Source organism: Homo sapiens, chromosome 1, assembly GCF_000001405.40.
Source record: "Homo sapiens chromosome 1, GRCh38.p14 Primary Assembly".
Classification (NCBI taxonomy): domain Eukaryota; kingdom Metazoa; phylum Chordata; class Mammalia; order Primates; family Hominidae; genus Homo; species Homo sapiens.
In genome coordinates this window covers 193,184,588-193,208,376 of record NC_000001.11, presented here as the reverse complement: position 1 = coordinate 193,208,376, position 23,789 = coordinate 193,184,588, and the positions used below count along the sequence as shown (strand labels likewise).

At 35.2% G+C, this 23,789-nt stretch overlaps 2 protein-coding genes across 2 annotated transcripts in view; one reads left to right on the top strand and one right to left on the bottom strand.

The window, feature by feature from the left end:
* Positions 1–23,789, bottom strand: part of CDC73 (cell division cycle 73) — a 132,785-nt gene that overhangs the window by 46,439 nt on the left and 62,557 nt on the right. The window contains exon 11 of the mRNA NM_024529.5: positions 4,525–4,582. Coding sequence (NP_078805.3) covers positions 4,525–4,582 — 58 coding nt within the window. The remainder of the gene's footprint in view (positions 1–4,524; positions 4,583–23,789) is intronic.
* The window catches only part of B3GALT2 (beta-1,3-galactosyltransferase 2), a 7,884-nt gene continuing 5,858 nt past the window's right edge, over positions 21,764–23,789 (top strand). The window contains exon 1 of the mRNA NM_003783.3: positions 21,764–22,358. The gene's annotated coding sequence lies outside the window, so the exon portion shown is untranslated. The remainder of the gene's footprint in view (positions 22,359–23,789) is intronic.

Here is a 23,789-nt window from a genome sequence, read left to right as displayed (position 1 = left end):
TTTCTATGTCTATTTTGTTGGCACCAGAAATAAAAAGGTGCCACCGGAAATAAAAAGGTTGACACCAGGCAACCGACCACACTGAGACCCACTGGTCTAGAGAGATGATGATGGTTTCTACTTGAGTTGTGGTAGTGGAGATAAAGAAAAATAGATAAATTTGGAATACAGAAAAGGCACATCTGACAGAACCCACCAACAGAAAAGGAGTAAGGAAATGTGATGAATAAAGAATAACTTCCAAGTTTTTGATTTAAGAAACAAAGTTGATTGTGGTGTCACTCTATGAAAAAGCAGAAGACTATAGAGTAAGAGACCTTGGGGAAAATAGCAGGGAAAAATTTATCTTAATTAGTTTTAAAATGCCTACGGCAAATCCAAATGTTACACAGACAGTTAATATAAGATACCAGAGGTTTGAATTGGAGATAACAAATTTGGAAATCATCAGCACATAGATTTAAAACTATGGGATAAGAGGAGAAGTACTCCTTCCCTAATAATACTCTTATAATTTCTTATGCCTGTCTTTACTTTAATCTCTTAATCCCATTATCTTCGTAAACTGAGAATGTATGTCACCTCAGGACCACTATTGTACAAATTGATTGTAAAACATGTGTGTTTGAACAATATGAAATCAGTGCACCTTGAAAAAGAAGAGAATAACAACGATTTTCAGGGAACAAGGGAAGATAACCATAAGGTCTGCCTGCCTGTGGGGTCAGGCAGAATACAGCCATATTTTTCTTCTTGCAGAGAGCCTAAAAATGGGCATGCAAGTAAGAGAGATATCGCTGAATTCTTTTCCCAGCAAGGAATACCCCGGGGAAGGAATGCATTTCTGGGGGGAGGTCTATAAAGGGCTGCTCTGGGAGTGTCTGTCTTATGTGGTTGAGATAAGGACTGAAATACGCCCTGGACTCCTGCAGTACCCTCAAGCTTACTATGATTGGGAAATTCCAGCCTGGTAAATTTTGGTCAGATTGGTTCTCTGCTCTCGAACCCTGTTTTCTGTTAAGATGTTTGTCATGACAATATGTGCAGAGAGGGACATAGACCCTCATCAGTAATTCTAATCTTGCCTTTGCCTTGTGATCTTTATTGCCCTTTGAAGCATGTGATCTTTGTGACCTACTCCCTGTTCGTATACCCCTTTTAAAATCCCTAATAAAAACCCCTCCCTTTTTAAAATCCCTAATAAAAACTTGCTGGCTTTGTGGCTCAGGGGACATCACAGACCTACCAATATGTGATGTTACCCCTGGAGGCCCAGCTGTAAAATTCCTCTCTTTGTACTCTTTTTATTTCTCAGACAGGCTGACACTTAGGGAAAATAAAAAGAACCTATTTAAATATTGGGGGCTGGTTCCCCCGATACTTTCAACTGCCTGTATTTATGAATCCACTGGAAAACATGTGCCTCTTGTTAGTTATATTCCCTAAATGAATTTTGAGAGGTTGGAAATTTTTAGAGCTTTATAGGTTTAAAGTGTTTAACTGTAAACACTTTAAAACATTAAATTTACCCAGAGACTTGCCTGGCACAACAGCACTAAATAAATATTTGATGAAATGAGAAATAAAAATTTGTGAATGCTCAAAAAACAGAACTCCACCCTTGAGGTATCTCACTCAAAGAGAGAATAGGTGAGACAGTCTCTCATTTCCAAATTATGCAAACTCTACCCAACAAATAACAGTTATACTTCTATAATCCCCCTTCTTACACTGGCCATATATATTTTGGGCATTCACATTTTTCAGATTTTAAAGAAATAATACTAGTGTACATGTCAGATATTAAACAATATCCCTTCAAAACTGGGCTACACCCCATAAGCAGATGCATTTAACAGTTTTGGCAGCAAAATAAAAATACACTAATTAGGACAAATAAAGACTTCAAACTACTACTATCCATTCCAATCAAGTCTTATTGCTGAATGAGAGCAAAAACCTTAATTATTTTAGAATGATGGGTAGGAAATGTGGATGTATGGGTGTGAAGCAGTTAAGTGGAAGTAGAAAGCAGAAAGTTCACATGGATGAGCATTAGAATATCTGAGGTATGATGAGACACTCATTCAGAGTAATTTCCATTGGTTTAATCCCCAGGGCACTTTAGCTAAAAAGTAAGCTAGAACATTAAGAGGTGAAAGACTTAGAACCCCTTACTTTACACATATGATCTTCCCCTAGCCACATACCTGGCTAGTAAAATCCAGTCCCTTTAATTTTATCACAAGACACATATGAACAAAATGGTTTGTTTAGGTATCAGTGCCTCTCCCAGCCCTTTCCTTACATACTAACTTCTTTTATGAAAATGCAAAATAGAAAAAATTTTACATCACAGATACTAAGTTACAATCCTCAGGTGGTGGCTTTTCCCCTTTTATATAATACCATTTCTGACATACCATAACCTCCCATCCCTACCTTACAAAGAAAAACAAACAATTCTCTTATCTGTGGTTCAACTGCCTCCACAATATTCCTATACTTCATGTTTAGTATTCTTTGGGCCCAACCCCATCTGTCCATCCCTATTTCCTTCACTTTTTTCTTCCTTCCTGTAAAAAGCTCCTTTAGCTTCTCTTAGTTTCTGGACAAGAGCCTATTATATAGAAATTCAAATAATATTTGTTGAATTTAATTGTTCTTCTTATGCTCTCACGATGGATTCTGGTATGATCATCCCTACTGAAAATTAGTCATGTCATCTTAACTACATCCAATCTAGTCTAAGTATAACAAGGCTGACAGAGCACTCCTCTTTTCCACACCTACTTAATAACAGCAATGACAAAAATTTCAAACAAACCTACTGTCAAACAAAAAACAAAAACAAAAAAAGGAAATACTAGCCACATCTAAGAGGAGTATGAATACAAGACACAGGGAAATCACACTGCAAAAACATCCCAATATAAGCCCCATGTACCATACTTTTGATGTGCCTCCAGAAAATATTTAATATTCATAATCTACATAATTTTAGAATTAGCCTGTGTACATACTATGAATGAGGATATCCAAATCTGCACTATTGATACTGTGAAATTCATGCAGAAGATTCAGTTAAGTTCTTGCCTGTGCCTTTCCAATCCTTTATTTTCTTTCTTCATACTCACTTTCAACAGCACTGATGAGTTTAAAAAAAAAGGGGGGGGGGGGGACAGGTGGTATAGCCTAGCACTGAAATTATGCTAAATAAATGTAAAAATAAAACAAACACCAAACACCAAAAACAAACCCAAAAGACCAAAAATAAATACAGGGTTGGTATCTAAATGATCTATAAAAATCAGTCTTTTTAGTTACTAGGAATAGGGGGAAGAATTTTTCTAAAATAACTTCAATACCAGCTTTGCTTAACACATTTTAAAAAAAAATGATACAGAATTTTAGGTGTTCAACACAGATATCTCAAGTTCTAAGCATCAAAGCTGAATATGATTCTATTAAAATTATAATTCTGTGCTGCTGCAGGAAAAAAATTCACATCTGTACATACTACCACGGAACTATGAGAGAACTGATGAAAGGATGGATATACATAAATAGCTTTTAAACTTTTAAAAATGTTTTAAAACATGTTTCTAAAATCTTAACCAAAATGAAAACATTTTCTTAAAAATTTTCTTTAACTCTTCTCTATACCTATTTATTCAAGTAAATGTTCTATAGTATAAATCCATTATTGAAAAACAGTGTTTTATAACCTATTTTATCAATGACCTTTGAATCAAATTGGGGAAAACATTACTTCGGTAAAGAATATCAGCCGGGCACAGTGGCTCAAGCCTGTAATCCCAGCACTTTGGGAGGCCGAGGCGGGCGGATCATGAGGTCAGGAGATCAAGACCATCCTGGCTAACACAGTGAAACCCCGTCTCTACTAAAAATACAAAAAATTAGCCGGGCGTGGTGGCAGGCGCCTGTAGTCCCAGCTACTTGGGAGGCTGAGGCAGGAGAATGGCATGAACCCAGGAGGCGGAGCTTGCAGTGAGATGAGATGGCGCCAGTGTACTCCAGCCTGGGTGACAGAGCAAGACTCTGTCTCAAAAAAAGAAAAAAAAAAAATATATATATACACACACACACACACACACACACATACACATATATATACGTGTATATATACATATATATACATATATATACACGTATATATATGTGTGTGTGTGTATATATATATATAAAAAACAAAATCCAGTTCAGCTGCTTAATACACTATAGGAAAATAAATAATTTACTATGCTTTCACTTTATTTATGTCTTTCTGCTAAAAACATGAAGATTTACTAATGATGCTGACTGAAGTTTAGCAAGCATTTTATGTATATTATCACAGTTTTGAGATCTGCTTAAACAGTATCGACAGTCTTCAAAGAAACATGACTTTGCAATGTATTTTAAGTAAAATTTAAGTTTGTTCAAAGCATTATACGCATACTAAAAACTTGCACTGTTACGATCTTTTGAAAGAAAACAAAAAGCAAAGTTCTATATTTCTACCTGGTCTTGGTACTGGCTGGGCTGCAGGAGTCTGAGTCTTCCGGGCAGATGCACCCTCCTTTAAAAGAATAAGAATTGATATATAAGATCAAAGTTTCTTTACATAATAAACACTTTAATTATTCCAAAGAAATCTCATATCTCTCTGTCTCTTGTTCTGTTTTTCTCACTCAGTTGGTTACTCCACTGAACATGTTATGACCTACAGTTTAAGAAAAAAATAAAAATGAAAACTCTCCTGATCTTTTATGCTATTAAGTCATGAGATCATAATAAACATCTTTAGCATAAAATAAACTTAGTTACTACAGAGTAGTTACTGTAAGCATGTAATATTTTTAAATGATTTGCTTAACTGCTGACAATTTTAATATTCTCAGAAATGTCACTGCCTGTTCTAAAATCAAGTCAATCTTTTTTTCTCTAGACAATCTCAAAATAAATAAATGATATATACCCTCCTGTTGGAAAAACCTAAAATATGTTATATTGGAATGTATTTAAAAAACAAACATTTCAAATAATTAAATGCCTTTAAAATATTCAGGAAAAATCACATTTATAAAGAAGAGATGTTACATTTGAATTAAGAGCAGATGAGAGTATCTTAAAAACTAAACAACAAATCTCAATAATTACTGAAAATGTAAGATGTACATGGAAATATGGTAAGTGTTGAAGTATATCAATTATATACTCAAGGATAGATGCCTCTGAAATGCTTAAGATTCTTAAAATGTCTGTTTTTAGTGCAAGTTTCAATCATATTCACAGTGATATTTCATAATACATTTTTCTTTATAGAAAGTTGCAAGTGTAAATTTCATAACTATGAATTCATAAAGACTTTACACTAGTGGTACATAACAGAAGGAAATTTGACAAATTATCAGGGGAGGTACATAAATATATAAAAATTAAAATCAATATTAGCATCACAAAAAACATTTCCAAAGAAATACTGCTAAATACTAATTATAATTACATTACATTTTCTTCAAAATTTGAGATGGTAAACGTGGTAAAACTGTTTGAAATAGCAGGCTATCCCATGGCATTTTTAAAAAAATAAATGACTATAAAAATGAGTACAGGAGAAAAAAGACTTTCACTTCAATACAGTGGTATTCCTAGCATTCAGTTAGAACATCACAGAAACCATTCTTTATTACAAGAAACAACAGCCGCAGGAGCAGGTAGGTAGCAAAAACTCCAAGAAGGAAAAAAAAAAAAAAAAAAGACACCTGAGGACAGCAAAATATCCTTTTTCCAACATTCTCACTATTGCGCATTTAGTTATTAATATATATTGGTGTATTTACTACTGAGTCATTCTGGGTGCTGGTTTCATAGATGTATTGTTTGTAAAAATTTATCAAGCATACTTATGATATGGTTTTCCTCCAGTTATATTACATTCAGGTAAAACTTTAAATGTAAAAAAAAAAGTGAGTCATAAGGTGGAGAGCATATCAAATATTTAACATCATTATGATGTGGGGGAACCTTCTGATTATATTTGTCTCTAAGTTCATGTTAGGGGACATAACTGTTTTTATTATTCTTTGTAATTCCAGTACCTGGAGCATAATAGGCTCTGGGCACTGCAGCTAGTTGAACTGAACTGCACCTAGATTTTTAAAAAAATCAGAAGCCAGCGGATAATCATTAAATAGGAATCCATTAAAAGGAACATTAGCCCCTATATAAAGAATCAACTAGACATTATATAATAAGAGTAAACTAATCATATTACTTACCTATTCTAGTATGTAAATACTGACTCGTGGGGATGTGATTTAAGAGGAAATACATAGAAAATGAGACAGAAAAACAATGAGCAGGCATATATGCAGACATCTTCTGTCCACATTTAACCATGAGTCTGGCTAGATTCAAATCAAAGCCCTTCTTTTTTTTTGGAATAGAGTGGCCTAAGTTCAAAATCACCAGAATAAAAATTATGTGCATATAAAGATAACTACACAAACCGAAAGTGATCCAATTAACTACTGAATTAGTTGTACACCTGTATTATATAACAAAGAGTACGAATTTTACAACATGGGTCAGGCAAAAGGTATAAGCATATGTAAATAATATGGAAAAAAAAACCTTTTCCACTATAAATTGTAACCCTTAGGAATTTTTGTCTATTTTTGAATAAGCTCAAAACTTGATCCTTTTAAATACCAATAATGGGTATTTTCTGTTTCCCTAGTAATAATCCTTGTTTGATGACCCAATCACTCCCTTTTGGCAATAAGCTCTATCCCCTGGTCACTAGGAAAGGTTTATATCCTAGACTACATCAATCAAAAGTCCTTCTCTGGGATTATTTTTTACAGACTAGAGCTAGCTGTTAAAACCACTAGCTACAAGGAAATAAGCCTAAAATCACTGATGATGATGACCCTTGACTCATGGAGAAAATGCATTGGCAGAAAGAGAGAATTAAGCTATAACGCAAGAAAAGAGGTAGAATATAATACACTTTATAATATCTACTATCTATTTCTAGTGGCCTGCAAGACCTACTTTACCCTTAACCATTCTTGATTACATGAGTCAAATCTCCCATCTCAGCACTCTACAAACCCCACACACACTTTCATTTGCCTCAGTTGAATCAAAGTCCTGTCTGTTGCAATAGAAAAAAAATGTTACCTAATTTTGTCTTCTCAAGGCTTACTGAAAATTTCAGTTGCCAAGGTCAGTACAGTACAACTTTAATTTTTGAGTTGGTATACACACCCACCCCCGCCAATACACATACAAAGAGTTATACAGTTGTGACACACAACAGACTAATGACAAAACAGTAGAATATGACCTTCTTGGAACAAAACTGGGAAGTTCTTTGCAAATCATGTCATGAATTTATAGCCATTTCTAGGACTCCCCAGCCAACACCACCCAAGAGGCTAAAAGCACATTCTACTCTGATTTCCATTATTTTTAAGTAAAGGTGGAGTAGTCACTGCATAACGGAATGCAGAAATCAACCCCACCACCCTCCACCCTAAAGATGAAGAGACAAAGGTGAAGTCATTTTTCAAAGGCTATACGCACGCGCGCACACACACACACACACGGAATGTATTAAGAAACAGAAAAAATAATCTGGAATATGGAACAGACTGACAATTCCATATTTTTAAAGATTTGGATTGGAAGAAAAAACACTACCCAGCGGGGAAAAGAAAGGTATCGGCACAAAAACAAAAGAGCTGACAAGTTGTGCTAAGTGGAGAGGAAAACCTGCTTTCTCTTGAAAAGTCAGAAGCATTATAATTTCACCAAGACTTGAGGCATTCTAGAAAAGTAATAACTGAATTAACACAGAAGGGAAAAACAGTGAGAGAACCACATTTGCGAAGAATAAAAATACAAAACAAAGTATGCTGTTTACAAGCAATCCTTGCTTTCATTATTTTAGCAAATGAGATCATCTAAAATCTTCTGATATTTGCAAAGTACCAGTATGTGCTGCTTAAACAAGTGGAACAGATATCGTAATATATAATACCATCAGAAAAAAATATTTGTTGCAAGTGAAAAAGAACACACTATATACATTATATTTAATTTTAAAATGTTACCTGAAACAGTGAAATATTGAAAACTTTTTTTTAAAAAAACAGGATCTCACCCAGGTTGCAGTGCAGTGGTGCAATCTTGGCTCACTGCAGCCTTGACCTCTGGGGCTTAAGCAGTTTTCTCACCTCAGCCTCCAGGCACGCACCACCATGCCAGGCTAGTTTTTGTTTTTTGTTTTTTTTTTTTTTGGTGGAGACAGGGTTTCGCCATGTTGCCCAGGCTGGTATCAAACTCCTGAGCTCAAGTCTCCCAAAGTGCTAGGATTACAGGTGTGTACCACCACGCTTGGCCTGAAAGTTTTTATGAAGAAAACATATATAGAACATATATGCAGACTCCAGGAGTTTCCTATCTACTTTTCTGTTGTATTAATAAGGGCAAAAGTCACATATGTTTTAAAAATTATTTAAATAATAGTCATACCCTTGAATGCTTTTACCTTTATTTTAAAAAGTAACTTATTCCTATGAATTCTGGATAATTAGAATTCCCAAAGATTAGAATGTTTAAATATGTGTGTGAATTTCTTTTTTTTTTTTTTTGAGATGGAGTCTTGCTCTGTCACCCAGGCTGGAGTGCAGTGGTGTGATCTCGGCTCACTGCAACCTCTGCCTCCCAAGCTCGAGAGTCTCCTGCTTGAGCCACTCAAGTAGCTGGGGCTACAGGTGCGCACCATCAATGTCCGGCTAATGTTTGTATTTTTAGTAGAAACAGAGTTTCACCATGTTGGCCAGGCTGGTCTCAAATTCCTGACCTCAAGTGACCCACCCGCCTCTGCCTCCCAAAGTGCTGGGATTACAGGCATGAGCCATCGTGCCCGGCCTGAACTTCTAAACACATTGAATGAGTCTTTTTTTTAAGGGATCAGGCCTCATTTTGTTGCACAAGTTGGTCTCAAACTTCAAGCAAACCTCCTGCCTTGGCCTCCTAAAGCGCTGGGATTGCAGGAGAGAGCCACCATGTCCAGCTAGTCTTTTAAAAGAGTGTTTTGAGAAACCTGTTGTAGAAAAAGGAAACAGCAATTCTGGGGACAAATTACAATGAGGCTAAAAAACATAAAGGATTTTAGAAGCAAAACATTTCAACATAAATAATAAGCACAATTTTTTTAAGACTTCTTATAACCTTGAGGTATATGTATACGATATGTTGCTAACATAGAAAACAATTAACATACTTATAAAGCATAGTACTTCCCTCCCTTTAAATATACAGATAAAGGGCTATAAAATTTAAAAATAAATTTATCTTTCTTTCCCTAAGCCCAGAAACTCTCTCCAGAGAAGTAACCACTTAAACGGCTGAGACATGTTCTCTCTCATCACCCAACCTCTAAACAAACTGATTAAGGTAGATGTTGTATCTATTGTACGATGAGAAAATTAAACTACAACAAACAAACAAGCAAAAACCAGTTACTTGCCCAGGTCACATGCCTAGTAAGCAGAACAGATCTGGGCCTTTTTGAATCCAAAGCCTATGCTTTCTAACTACTAATACCTTGTAACCTCTGATTTGAAGACTTCCCTTCACAAACTTTTTCTCTCTTTCCTCATTCTCTCTCTTCCCTTAATTCCAATGTTCCCTTGTTTTGACCTTTTGGCATTTTCTGGATACCTTTATCATGTCTTAGGACATTTGTGCTACTATACCAAAATACCACACACTGGGCAATTTGTAAATAACAGAAACATATTTCTCAAAATTCTGAAGGCTGGAAAATCCAAGATCAAGGCACCTGCAGGTTTTGTGTCTCTCTGCTTCCAAAATGATGTCTTATTGTTGCATCCTCTGGAGGGGACAGACAGTGTCTTCACATGGTGGAAGGTGGAAGGGCAAAAAAGAATTTAAGCTAATTCCCTCCAGCCCTTTTACAGGGCATTAATTCATTTGTAAAGACCATGCCCTCATGACTTAATCACTTTCCAAATGGTCCTACTTCTTAATATCACCACAGTGGGGATTAATTTTCAACACACAAATTTTGGGAGGCATTCAGACCATAACACCTCATTATACTATATAATTCCCTAATTATTTGTCTGCTTCCCCCAATCAGACTGCAAGGTACTTTACTTCCCATCAGAAACTACTACTCCTCCAATCTTGATACAGCCAGGTGCATGGCAGGTGTTTAATCACTATACACTGACTAATTAAAACAAATATATTTGCCTTAGGATTACTGATTCATGAGTATTACATTGAGTAAAAACTGCTTTATCTATTAAATGAATATGGCAAAAATAACTGTCACACAGGATTATTAAGAGAATTAAACAACATTCATTCTTTGCACATACACTTTTTTTTTTTTTTTTTTTTGGTGAGATGGTATCTCACTTTGTTGCCCAGGCTGGAGTGCAGTGGCGCAATCTCAGCTCACTGCAACCTCCACCTCCCAGTTCAAGCGATTCTTGTGCCTCAGCCTCCTGAGTAGCTGGGAGTGCAGGCGTGCACCATCAAACCTGGCTAATTTTTCTATTTTTAGTAGAGACGGGGTTTCACCATGTTGGCCGGGCTGGTCTTGAACTCCTGACCTCAAGTGATCCACCCACCTCAGCCTCCCAAAGTGCTGGGATTACAGGCACGAGCCACCGCACCTGGCCTCTACATACACTTACTGAAAGCATAGTAAGTGCCAGATAAGAAAACAGAAATGCAGAAATATAAACAAGAGCACGAGGTCCCTACCCTCATGGTGCTTGCAATCTAATGAAGGAGCTCGATAATAAATACATGAAATGAAAAAATTATTAATACAATTACATATGTATTTAGTTACTTGCAATATGCATATGTGTTTCTGTCTGTGTATTTTCAGCTCACTGCCCAAAATAAAGTTGGACTAATAACTGTTAAACAATTTTCTTTTAACACTCTTTATGTAAGGATAAGTCACGACCTAGCAAACTGAATTCAGCAGCAAATTAAAAGTATTATATACCATGACCTAATGGGATTCATTCTTGGAATGCAAAGGTGGTTCAACATATGAAAAATCAATGTATTAATATTTAATAATACACCACATTAACAGATAAAGGTGAAAAACCCTCATGGTCATCTCAAATGATGTAGAAAAAAAAGACAAAAATTAATACTCTTTCATTAAAACATTTAAAAATTCAACTAGGAATGGAAGGCAATGTCCTCCACATAATAAAGATACATATGAAAAACCCACAGCTAACATCTTACTCAATGGTAAAAGACAAAGCTTTGTCCCTAAGATCAGGAACAAGACAAGGATGCCCACTTTCATCACTTCTATTCAACATAATACTGAAAGTTCCAGCCAGAGAAATTAGGCAAGAAAAACAGAAGGCATTCAAATTGGAAAGGAAGAGGTAAAATATGTTTGCAGATGACAAGATTTGTATGTTAAATAACCTAGAAATGACACCAAAAAAGTTATATTAATAATAGACAAGTTCTGCAAAGTTGCAGAATACAAAATCAACACACAAAAATTAGTTGTGTTTCTATACACTAACAATAGATGGTCCAAAAAGTAAATTAAGAAAACAATTCCACTTACAATAGCATTAAAAAGAATGAAATACTTAGGAATAAACTTAACCAAGGAAACAAAAGACTTGTACACTGAAACTATAAAATATTGCTAAAAGAATTAAAGACACAAACAAATGGAAAGACATTTGTATTCAGGGACTAGAAAAATATTAAGATTTCTATACTATCAGATGCACAACACAATCCCTATCAAAACTCAACATTTTTGCAGAAATAGAAAAACTCATCCTAAAAGTCACATGGAATCTCACGGGACCTCAAATACTTAGCCAAACTCATTGTGAAAAAGATCAAAGTTGGAGGACTCAAACTTCCAGATTTCAAAACTTACTGCAAAGCAACAGTAAACAGAAGAGGCATAAAGACAGACATACAGATTAATGGACTAGAATACCCAGAAATAACCTCACACGTATATGGTCAACTAATTTTTGACAAGGGTGTCCAGACCATTCAATAAGGAAAGGACAGCCTTTTCAACAAATGGTGCTGGGGAAACTGGATAGCCACACGCAAAAGGACGAAGTTGGACCATTACTTTAAACTATATACAAATTTAACTCAAAAAGGATCAAAAGACTAAACTTAAGAGTGAAAACTATAAAACTCTTAGAAGAAAACAGAGGAAAAGCTTCATGAAACTGAATTTAGCACTGATGTCTTGGATATGAAACCAAAAGTACAGACAACGGAAAAAGAAACAAACTGGATTCCATCAAAATTTAAAACTTTTGTGCAAAGGATATCAACACAGTGAAAAGGCAACCTACAGGAAGGGAAAAAATATTTGCAAGTCACACATATAAGAAATTAATATCCAGACTATATAAAGAACTCCTGCAACTCAACAACAACAAAACACAAACCAGCCAATTTAAATATGGGCAAAGGATTTGAATAGGTATTTCTCCAGAGATACAGATGGCTAATAAGTGCATGAAAATACACCAGACATCACTAATCGTTAGGGAACAGCAAATCAAATACCATAAGACATTACTTCAAATACATTTGAATGGTTATTATCAAAATCCAGTAACAAAATAAGAAAGTAACAAGTATAAATGAGAAGATGGAGAAATTGGAATTCTTACATATGACTGGCAGGAATATAAAATGGCACAGCTATTGTGAAAAGTGTATGATGGTACTCCAAAAATTAAACAAAGAATTAACATATGATCCAACAATTCTGTTTGAGTATATATATCCAAAAAAATTTGAAATCACGGACTTAAACAGATATTTTTACACCCAAGTTCATAGCAGCATTATTCACAATAGGCAAAAAGTAGGAATAACTCTAATGAACGTCAACACATGAACAGATAAATTATATATATACACAATGGGATGTCATTTAGCCTTAAAAAGGAATGGAATTGTAATACGTGCTACAACACAAATGAACCTTGAAAACATTACGCTAAACGAAATAGGCTGGACAAAAAAAAAATTCTGTGTGGGTTTGTGACGGTGTTTCTGGATGAGATTAATGTTTGAATAGGAAGATTGAGTAAAGCAGATTCCCATTCCTAATGTGAGTAGGCTTCATCAAATTCAATGATGGTCTGAATATTACAAAAGGGCAGAGTTAGAAGAGAATGCACTCTCAGCTGGCTGACACAGATCCTGAGACTTCTTAGACTCCATACCTGTGTGAGTCAATTCATTGTAACAATCTCCATATATACATATGTGTGCTTATGTTTTGTGTGTTAAACCACCAGTAAAATAAATACTAATAACTAATATACTAAATCTATATGTGTGTATATGTACATACACATATAGAGATTTATTTCACAAATTATAAACAGATATAGAAACAGATTCTATTGGCTTCATTTCTCTAGAGAACCCAGACTAATATAGCAATTCAAATTGGAATCAAAAGAGATAAAAGGTGATACAAATCACAAAATCTTTAAAAGGGGTACTCTTGCATATTAGAAAAACTTTTTTCATTTACGTACCTACTGATTAAAAAATGACATCCATGTGAATGTAGTTGAAATGTTTTATCACAGAACTGCAATTAGCAAAAATCCAAGCATGTCTATAATGCTTGGATTAATATCAAAGTCTATAATGATCTCATATCTTAGGGCACAGATGAATGATTCTGTCATAAGTCTCTCTGAGGTTTAATAAAACCACTATGTTCATTTAAAACTGGCAGAATTATTTTTATAGTGGCAGAGAAACATGGATAAGGTAGATGGTACACATAATCATTTGTGTAACATATGGGTCCATGAACTAAAAGAATATACCAAATAACCAGAAGTGTTAATCAGCGTGAAAAAAGTTGATCTGTAAGTCTTAAGAGCTATGTTCCAGCTTTGACTTGCCACAAAGTGAGGAACTTTGAGAAAATCACTGCCTCTCAGGGTCTTAGTTACTTCACCTATAAAGTGAGAAAAATAAATTTTTAGATGACCTCAAAGGTCCAATTCTGCTCTGAAATTTCATTTTTCTAATGTAAATAATACCTTTTCACTAGAAACAATGCCACTGTAGTACAACCTTGAATGTGCAATTAACTGATTTAAGTTTGAAGACATAATGCAAAATGGGTTTCTTCAAAGGTAGAAGAATGGTATACCATATAAATTTGCTCTTCTTTTGTTCCATGTAAATTAAAACATATTCTCCTGCCTAGTTCCTTCTATCACAGGGTATATCTTTGTAATCAGTTATTAGTTTAGCTGTTTTGGGAATCACAGAATTATAGTTACTGGCATACATGTAGAAAGATAAGTAACAACATTACAAGCTTTAAAAGAAAACATTTAGTATGATTCAATAAACTGACTGAGGAAGCTACACTGAAACAAATCTGTATGTATACTTAACTACCTGAAACCCATCACTGCCCCACAACACACACACACACACACACACACACACACACACACACACACACACACACTACAAGTAAGACAGCTGAAATGTTCTGGAACGTTATAAATTCTGGAGACAGTAATAAATTCTGTGAAAAGTTAGAAAAGGGTATATAAAACTCAAAGGTGAGAGAAAATCAGTGAAAAAGAAATATACAATATGTTCATTAGCAAATAATTAAGGATAAATGGAGGATATAAACAGAAATACTACATTTTTCTTTTTTTGGCTCACTAAAACTCAGCAATTCTATTTTCTATGAGACCACATCTTATTTAAAATGGGTGAAAATACAGGAAATGCATGAGAAATCAAAAGAATAACAACATAATACAAACCAAGTTCAATTGGGAACACAAAAGTATCAAAACACAGTGAAAATGAGTGACACCATATGAATTTCAATTAAGAGTTTATATATGAAAGACAAAATTTAAATACCACTTATTTCCAATTATCTTGCTATCTTTATAATGATCTATGTATCCATCAAGGCTATCAGTTTCTTCAAAGAAAGGAACCTATTGATGCATCTCACAACCCCTTGTAGCTTGCATATAAAAAATGCTTAATGTATTTGCCAAAGGTTAGCAAACCCCTTATACAGCCTAAGAAGTTGGGGGCAGGGCACAGAATCAAACCCTAAAAGTCAAACATTATCTCTTGGTCTGTAATCCTATAAACTTGGCATGTCTCTTGTCTGCTTTGCTGTAAGGGTTTGCTGTAGGGGCTTGGTCAGGGTGGTGGGAGAAATTATAAAATTACAGGAAAAAAGCAAACCTTCTTGGAAGGCCGGAAGGTTTTGCAAAAGCCTCTGGATAGGGTTATGGCTGAAAGCAGCCTAATTCTCTTACCTTGAGTTAACAGCTCAGAGTAGGTAAAAAGGAATGTAAGGGAGTTTATCTAAAGAGCTTGTTTACACATGTGGTCCTAAGACTGGCTTTTGATCATTCATAGGACTGCTCTCTCCAGCGGAGGGTGACCAGATTAATTAACCACACACGTGTTGACTCAATGCCTTTGTCATTAAATCTGTGCTGAATAAATGCCGGCAAGGCCAGTTAGTTGGCACGTGGCTGCCACAACTCCTTCTGTGAGTGGCCCCCTGCTCTTTCACTGAATATCAGTGTCTGAGTACGTTATTCATCCATCGTGCAGCCTGGTTCTGTAGGTCAGACCCCGGCACTTCGCAAAGTTCCTTTACACTGAAGTCCCTATTTCTAATCGGGCCATAACCAATCATACTGAAGATGGCTACATGAATCAAGCATGTTCAATGTTCCCTTCTTTCTTCAAAAAAGCCCTTTAGGAAAAAAAAATTCTATTTACTTACTTCCAACACTTGCTTTCTTGTTTTGTCTTTTATGAGACAGTGTCTCACTCTGTCGCCCAGGCTGGAGTGCAGTGGCGCGATCTCGGCTCACTGCAATTTCCGCCTCCCAGGTCCAAGTGATTCTCGTGCCTCAGCCTCCCAGGTAGCTGGGATTACAGGCATGTACCACCACGTCTGGCTGATTTTTGTATTTTTAGTAGAGATGGGGTTTTGCCATGTCAGCCAGGCTGGTCTTGAACTCACAATCTCAGGTGATTCGCTCATCTCGGCCTCCCAAAGTGCTGGAATTACAGGCATGAGCTACCATGCTTGGCTCCCAACACTTGCTTTCTATTCGTATCTACTACAGCCATTAAAATAAATACTTTCTGATACTAATAATTTATATTAGGGTAACTATGCCTCTTTGCAAAGTTTTAGTAGAATTTTAAGTTTCGATATTTTACATATACTTGAATTTACAAATTGTTTGTTATACTTTAAATAAATTAATAGTGTTAATAATTTTAAATATCAAGAATATGCTGGGTTTGCAGAGAATGGAGAGTAAGCTGCCTGAAATAATTTATTCAAAGGTGCTGACCCAGTGGATGTCACAGTTCTATCAAATTCAACACATGCCCTTTATATTTACTTTACATGGAACAAGTATTTATATAAGAAATACTTTACAATGACCCCTCTTAACTACCTGAAATGAAATGCACAGGTAATACAACCAATCTACATATATATTTTAAAAATTAATACACTAATACAAATAAAATTTTTAAAGACATTAATGATAGAGGCCAGGTGTGGTGGCTCAGGCCTATAATCCCCCGCACTTTGGGAGGACGAGGTGGGCAGATCACTTGAGGTTAGGAGTTTGAGACCAGCCTGCAACATGACGAAACCGCGACTCTACTAAAAATACAAAAATTAGCCAAGTGTGGTGGCACACGCCTGTAATCCCAGCTACTCGGGTGGCTGACGAAGGAGAATCACTTGAAACTGGGAGGTGGAAGTTGCAGTGAGCCAAGATCACGCCACTGCACTCCAGCCTGGGCAACAGAGCGAGACTGTCTCAAAAAACAAACAAAAAGAGAGATTTATGATAAAAATATGCATTTCAGTATGTAAGTCTCAGACATGATTATACCAGAAGATATACTAACCAGATGCTAATACCTATACATAAAGTCATAGTGAATGTAACAATTACAAATGCCCATAGACTGGTATATTGGTGACTCAAATGCCATGAACACAATTTCATTTTTTGATATGGTGAACCATTGGCCAAGTTTAGAACAAAGCAAAGTACAAGCTTCCCTCACTGTACACTGTAGTTACATTTCTAGATAATTCAGTGCACGTTAAAACTGAACAAAATATACTTTATGTTCCAACAATGTTTTAAATTTACTTAATTATAAAAAAGTGTTTCACCTACACAGATAGCCAATGAAACACTCAGAAGTCCTGCAGAACACAGAGCTAGTCTTTGCTGTTTACAAAGACTGTCCCACACACTACTGGACTACTACCTACCCTGGCCCTAAAATGCCCTTAAAAATCATTCTGTTAACTAGAAACATCCTCACAAACTTCTAGAACACCTCGTAGAAATCAGTACTACCCCTACCACTGCCCCCTTGAGAACCACAGCTCTAAGAGTATTATTCCTGACTGAAACAGCTGTGCCTCAGAAAAACCAAGGAATACACAAGCATAATAAAGTATTTGCCAAATCACTGCTGATTGTAAATGCTCATTGTTAATAGTTTGCATGAATTAAAACAGATAAAGGTGTCTATAATTAGTTCTGAAAGAGACACTTAAATTTAGCTTTGTTTTCAAGTCAAAAGAAATTCTTAAACAACATGCCTATCTGCTGCACAAGAAAACTGAAGGAGAAAAATAAGGCAGGCAAACACTGACACTTGTGGTCATTCTGAGATTGCTTATTTGCAATCAGGCTAATTCTTGCTTTGTGAGTTCAAGGAAAGTAAAGCTGGTTCATAAATCATCCACTGACTTTAGAGGAAAATTACAAGCTTTTAATAAACATTTGACTTCTCTTCAAAAAGGGGAAACTACCTATACTAATATTAAATAACCAAAAACAAGCCATTTGTCCAAATCCCTTATGTAATGAAAAAGACTGCATCTGATTATAAATAAAAACAGTCAAGAGAAATAAACTCCAAGCAAACATCATGCAAAATTGTCTAGTCATCTCAATAAAACTAAAATTGGTCTCTAAATAATTGTGTCAAGTGACAGTTTTCAGAGTGGTATGGTGGAAATTATACCTGATCTAAAACATTAAGATTTTTGTCCAACATGGGAAAAAATAGCTGGTATTTCTGGTAAGTCCTAGCTGAAATTAATTCCTTGAATTCAGGGACCAACCACTCATAATAAAGCACAAACAGGAAAGGAGACCAATATAAGAAGACCAGATTCATGTCTCCCTTCTAATGTTACTCAAGGATTTTGCTCATTCCCATTAGATGAAAATCATCCACCCTGGTTGAAGTGCTCTCCCCCTACCTTTCTCTTTTAATCTTTTTACCAAGGACATATTGTTGAATGTACATACATAGATAAACAGATGATGTAACTCCATGAGTTACTATTTAGTAGCCACTTGAACAGCAGATTTACATCTGATTCAACATGTAATAATCATTCAAAACCATTAACTACATGAATACAAAAATAATTATTCCTATACCCAGTAAAAACTGACAATTAGGAGGCATTACAATTCCTGTCTTTAAATTCTGACTCCTTGAAGTCTATACTAGACATGCCCAGGAAAATGCTAAAACCGGCCTGGACAGCTCTGGCCATGATGCACATAGTAACGGCCACCTATTTTGCCATCACGGATGTGTTGTAGGATTAAAAATAGACTTATGCAAGTGACAATTACAAGCCATTTATAACTATAAAACTTAACAAAATAGCTGCCAGTTTGCTGAATCTGAAAAAGAAACCTGTCACATTTACTGAATTAGTTTAACCATAGAATTCAGATGTTAAAAGAAACTAGACTAAAGGAAGAACTTCTACAAGCTCTCCTGTCATAAGATTTTTACAGTTTCTCTTGACTGGAAACATGTAGGTTGCTACAAAAAGTTACTAAAGGAACTTTTATCTCACATCTGCCCTGTTTTCCTGAACTTTACGTAAAGTTCTTAACTAGCTTAACTTAAATTTAACAAACAGGTTGGCTGGGCACTGTGGCTCACGTCTGTAATCCTAGCACTTTGGGAGGCCAAGGCAGGTGGATCACCTGAGGTCAGGAGTTTGAGACTGGCCTGGGCAACATAGTAAAACCTCACTTCTAGTAAAAATACAACAATTAGCCGGGTGTGGTGGCACACGCCTGTAATCCCAGGTACTCGGCAGGCTGAAGCACGAGAATCTCTTGAACCTGGGAAGCAGAGGTTGCAGTGAGACAAGATCGTGCCACTGTACCCCAGCCTGGGCAATAGAGCAAAACTCTGTCTCCAAAAAAAAAAAAAAACAGACAGACAGAAAGAAAGAGGTTGCAGCTGTACTTTTAAAGTATGAAGTAAATTCCAGTTAAGTACATAGGCACCTTTTGTTAGTAATATTTGGAAGTTTCTTGCTGTTTAAATACTTGTCCCATAACAAGCAGTTCGGGGCGGGGGGGTCCCACTGGAAATTCAGGGACTCAATCCGATACTGGAGGGACCCACTAATGAATACGTTACCCATATAACTCTCTTAATAATCAAAATCTATAATAATCCAGGGAGACATTAAAAAAATCCAATCAAAAGAACTGGCAAAAGAATAATAATTATTTAGTCCTTTCCTGGAGAAAGGGGTAGGGAATGTCTCTAAATCAACTTTGTATCCCCTATACTTAATAAGCTATGCCTAAATGCACATGTTGGTACACAGTAGTTAATCAATATGTACCTGTTGAAAAAGTGAAAATATAAACATTCATTTATTATTCTATTAATGATTCCTGGGTATGCTGCGCCAGTGTTCAGAAAAAAAAAAAATCCCACAATTTCTCTAGCAGTGCCATGTAATAAAAAGTTTAAGAACAGAGAATAATGATAGTACTAGATAGATTTAAAAAGAAAACAAAAACACAGAGGATAAGAATTTAGATAATCTTGCTTCAATTCCCAGCTTGGCCTCTATTCTTATCAGTATTTATCTGACATTTGGACTATTTTACAACTCCAGGCACTGGTTCTGCATCTTTTAAGTGGGTATTACAATAATAAAATTATTAGAAAAGAGCCATTTGCATAACAGCTCAAGTAAGCTTAGCACGCAATCTGATTTTCAGTAAATACTCCATAAATGGTCATTGTGGCTAGCTTCATAGTCAAATCCTATGTAAAGAATCACTGATAAATAAATACTGATCTACAAAAACACATCTGTACTTCTGGAAAATAAGTTATTTTAAGTAAGTTCTTAAGCATTACTCTGTTAACTAGTAAACTAATTTTAAAAACAAAACGGTAGTGAGTGAGAATTGCAGTATGGGTGGATATAGACTACAAGGAAGTTGGGTTTTAGTCCTCTCCTTCAAACTTAACTAGGAAAAGTCAAAGCTCAGTCTAGGCTTTAGGTTTCCTATTTATAAAATTCTTTTTTTTCTTTAACGATCCTTCTAACATTTCTAATACAGTGGGGTTCTTAAAACTACAAAGCACATTTCATCAGCAAAGCTCAAAAATATGTGGACAAAATTTTTTTTAATATCAGAGAAAACAAATTCATATTCATTTGAAATAGCATATATTAATGGTGGAGGCAGTGAGATGAAGAATATGTATATAACTGTTAACCTTTAGCTTAAGCTCCAAAACTATAACTTTCTAGGACTGAATTACTGTCCCTAGAGTCACAGAGGAAAAACTGATAATAAAGGCTTTTTACTACAACAAAAAATTTAAAAAAACCTTCCCTACTGCTCTGCAGTAAGAAAAGAAGGTGCCAGCCCCAGAAACTAACCATATTAGAAAAATCTCAGTGAGTGTGTAGTGTTAATAAAATCTGCCTCATGGCAAGTTATTAAATCTTTCTGAAACATTAGAATAAGTAAACATAATTAGTAAAATCTCATTACCCCCAGATCCTGTACAAGTGTGCTATATCTATTACATCATTTTACTGAATTCTACGATACATGTAATTTTAAAGGGAAGGAAAAATAAATAAAAAATAAATGACAACATTAAAAAGTGATTTAAAATAAAGTTTTCTGCCATCAAGAACACCAAAAACCACATAAGAGCAAAAAAGAAGTGGGCTGTATCACATCATGCATTAGTAAAGTAATCCAAGACAGCTTATTTATACAAACCCCAGAAAACGGGGGGGGGGATCTAAATTACAAAGATACATGGTTTCAATAGAAACCATAGGTCTTAACTACATATTAGTAAAAAATCAAGAGCAATTTGAAAGCAGAGAAAAAAAACTTCAAGAAGAGAATGCACTGAAGGGGTTAAATTACACCAACTTACACACAAAAGCTTATACTGCTTACACCCTACAAAAGCATGTAAGAAACATGAAAACCAACATCTAACACAGAAAACACTTAGAAAGCCTGTACTTAAGAATAAAGTTAAAAAAGGAAGTAAGCTGGAAAAAATAAAATCATAACCATTTCATAATCATCACATTTTCAAATTATTCACTCATCACTACACTTGCATTCAACATATATAATTTATCACATAAAAGCAAAATCTCTAAGCTTCTCCCTACCTTAGGTTTTTAGTCAAAATGAATGCAAACAATCACGTGGGATTCAGCCAAGCAGTGACGTTAAATTCTGCTCTGTCAGAGAGAGCATCTGTCAAGCCCACATTTAAACTGCTGCCTGCCTGTGCAGCAGCTGAGGAACCGTGGATTTCATATTATAGACTAAAACCCCATTAAAACTGCTCAAAATCCTTCCTGCAGCTGCCAGGCAACAACGAAAGAAGAGAGGTAAATCCTATTCTTTTCCAATACAACTGAAGCACTACATTTTAGCTCTGGCTGCTTTACATTGCAGCTCAGTGTTATTAGTAGAAATATGGATACTGAGACGAGAACACAGCACTGCATTGTCCAGCCAGGAAAATAGCAGATGTAAAAAGCTTCAATGCATCAACTGTCGGGAAGAGTCAACAGTGCTACAAGCAGAACGGGCAACTACAGCTCTTTTGTTTAACGAAAGAGAGAAAATGAAAGAAAGGGAAAATTTCAGAAGACTAGGACCCATATGAACAAGGAGGGTAACTCGAAGACAAGCAGACAGATGGACACTTTGGATACTGTGAAAAGCAATCGCAGGAGGCAGACTGTTGGGGGATGTGCGCATGTTCGATAGCATCTTTTTTGCTGAAGTGATGGCGTGCCAAAAGTATTTTCAGTGGGCATAATCCTCTTCACATAAATGGCCTGACCAAGGAAGGTATGTCAATATCTTGTGTATGATAGTCATTTAAATGTGTTACCTTTTTATAGCCCTGGAGGCACTAATACCTGATAAGCAAGTTCATACAGCTCACTGCCCTTGAAACTATGAAAAGGTTTCTTAATATCTGATTTTAAAATTTGTCATTGTTTAGAAGACAAGCTGTCACTGCTTTATGCAGCTAAATATGTAGCTTGGAGTAATTCTGGGTAATAGACATCAGAGGGAAAAGGCAAATAAGAAGAAGATGTGTTTAAAGGATTCCTTAAGAAATTAAACTTAAAAAAAAATCTGTAGCCCTTTACAAAAAACACAGCAATATTCTATCAAATTAGGTCAAACTGAATCCTTATCTAGTAAATTAAATGCTCTCTTAAAAATGGCTATCAAAAGACACAATGCAGTGAAATTTCATTAAATAGTAGCAAGGAAAACCTTAAGAGTTTTTTTTTCAAAGTCCTTTTAAAACAAAACCTTAATATGTAACAGCTTTTAGTAACAAAATCTTCCCCAACATCTCCCTAAATGAAGATAATGAACACAACCAAAGAGAGTATCAACAAATTTTAAATATTACCAAGCTACAAGAAGATACTAAAAGGAAAGCATTAACATAAGATCACATAAGGTAGTGTGAGTTTATGCATAACCCCACAATAGAGCCTCGTGTTATTATAGTGACCATGAATAGAACTTTAAACAAAGGGACATCAATAGTGGCTTTAAAAATTAACTATTTTAAATAGCTTACATTTTATGTAAAAGACTGATTCCAAATGATCAAATTTAACGTTGTCTCTGATTATCATTTCAGAAGTGAAATTCAAAAACATAATATGGAAATACTTTGATACAAAAATATCCACAAATGGCAATACAAGGTCAAAAAATTAAATATAAATGTAGCTACTATGCTTCCAGGCTATATTAATATGCAGTAATGAACTACCGCCACTATATGTGTGTGCAGGGCACAGATAAACCAAATAAACTATTTTAGCAACAATCATAGAACAGCAACTCAGGGCTCAAGAACTTAAAGATATTTCTAAAATTCTACAAATCTATCAAAGATCCTGATTTTTCCTCAATTTCACAACACAACTCAGTAATTATCTAATAATCACAAAAGGCAAACATTTTTTAAAAATATGTAAGTACTGCATTCCAAAATGAAGATTAAACAAGTTTACCAGACTCTATTACACCTCAACATCACTCTCACCCATGAATTTTTATTCTAATAAAGACTAATAATAAATAGTACTAAAAAATATGGTTGTAAAAATTTCAAGTCCCTCTTGGTACCTTAATCTCTCAATATTGAAGTCACCAATTAAGCAGTTTTATAAGCTATACATCTCAAAACAAAAGTGTAAGTTTTTCTATTAAACCATCACCAACAGACTAAAGAGATCAACACTTTTA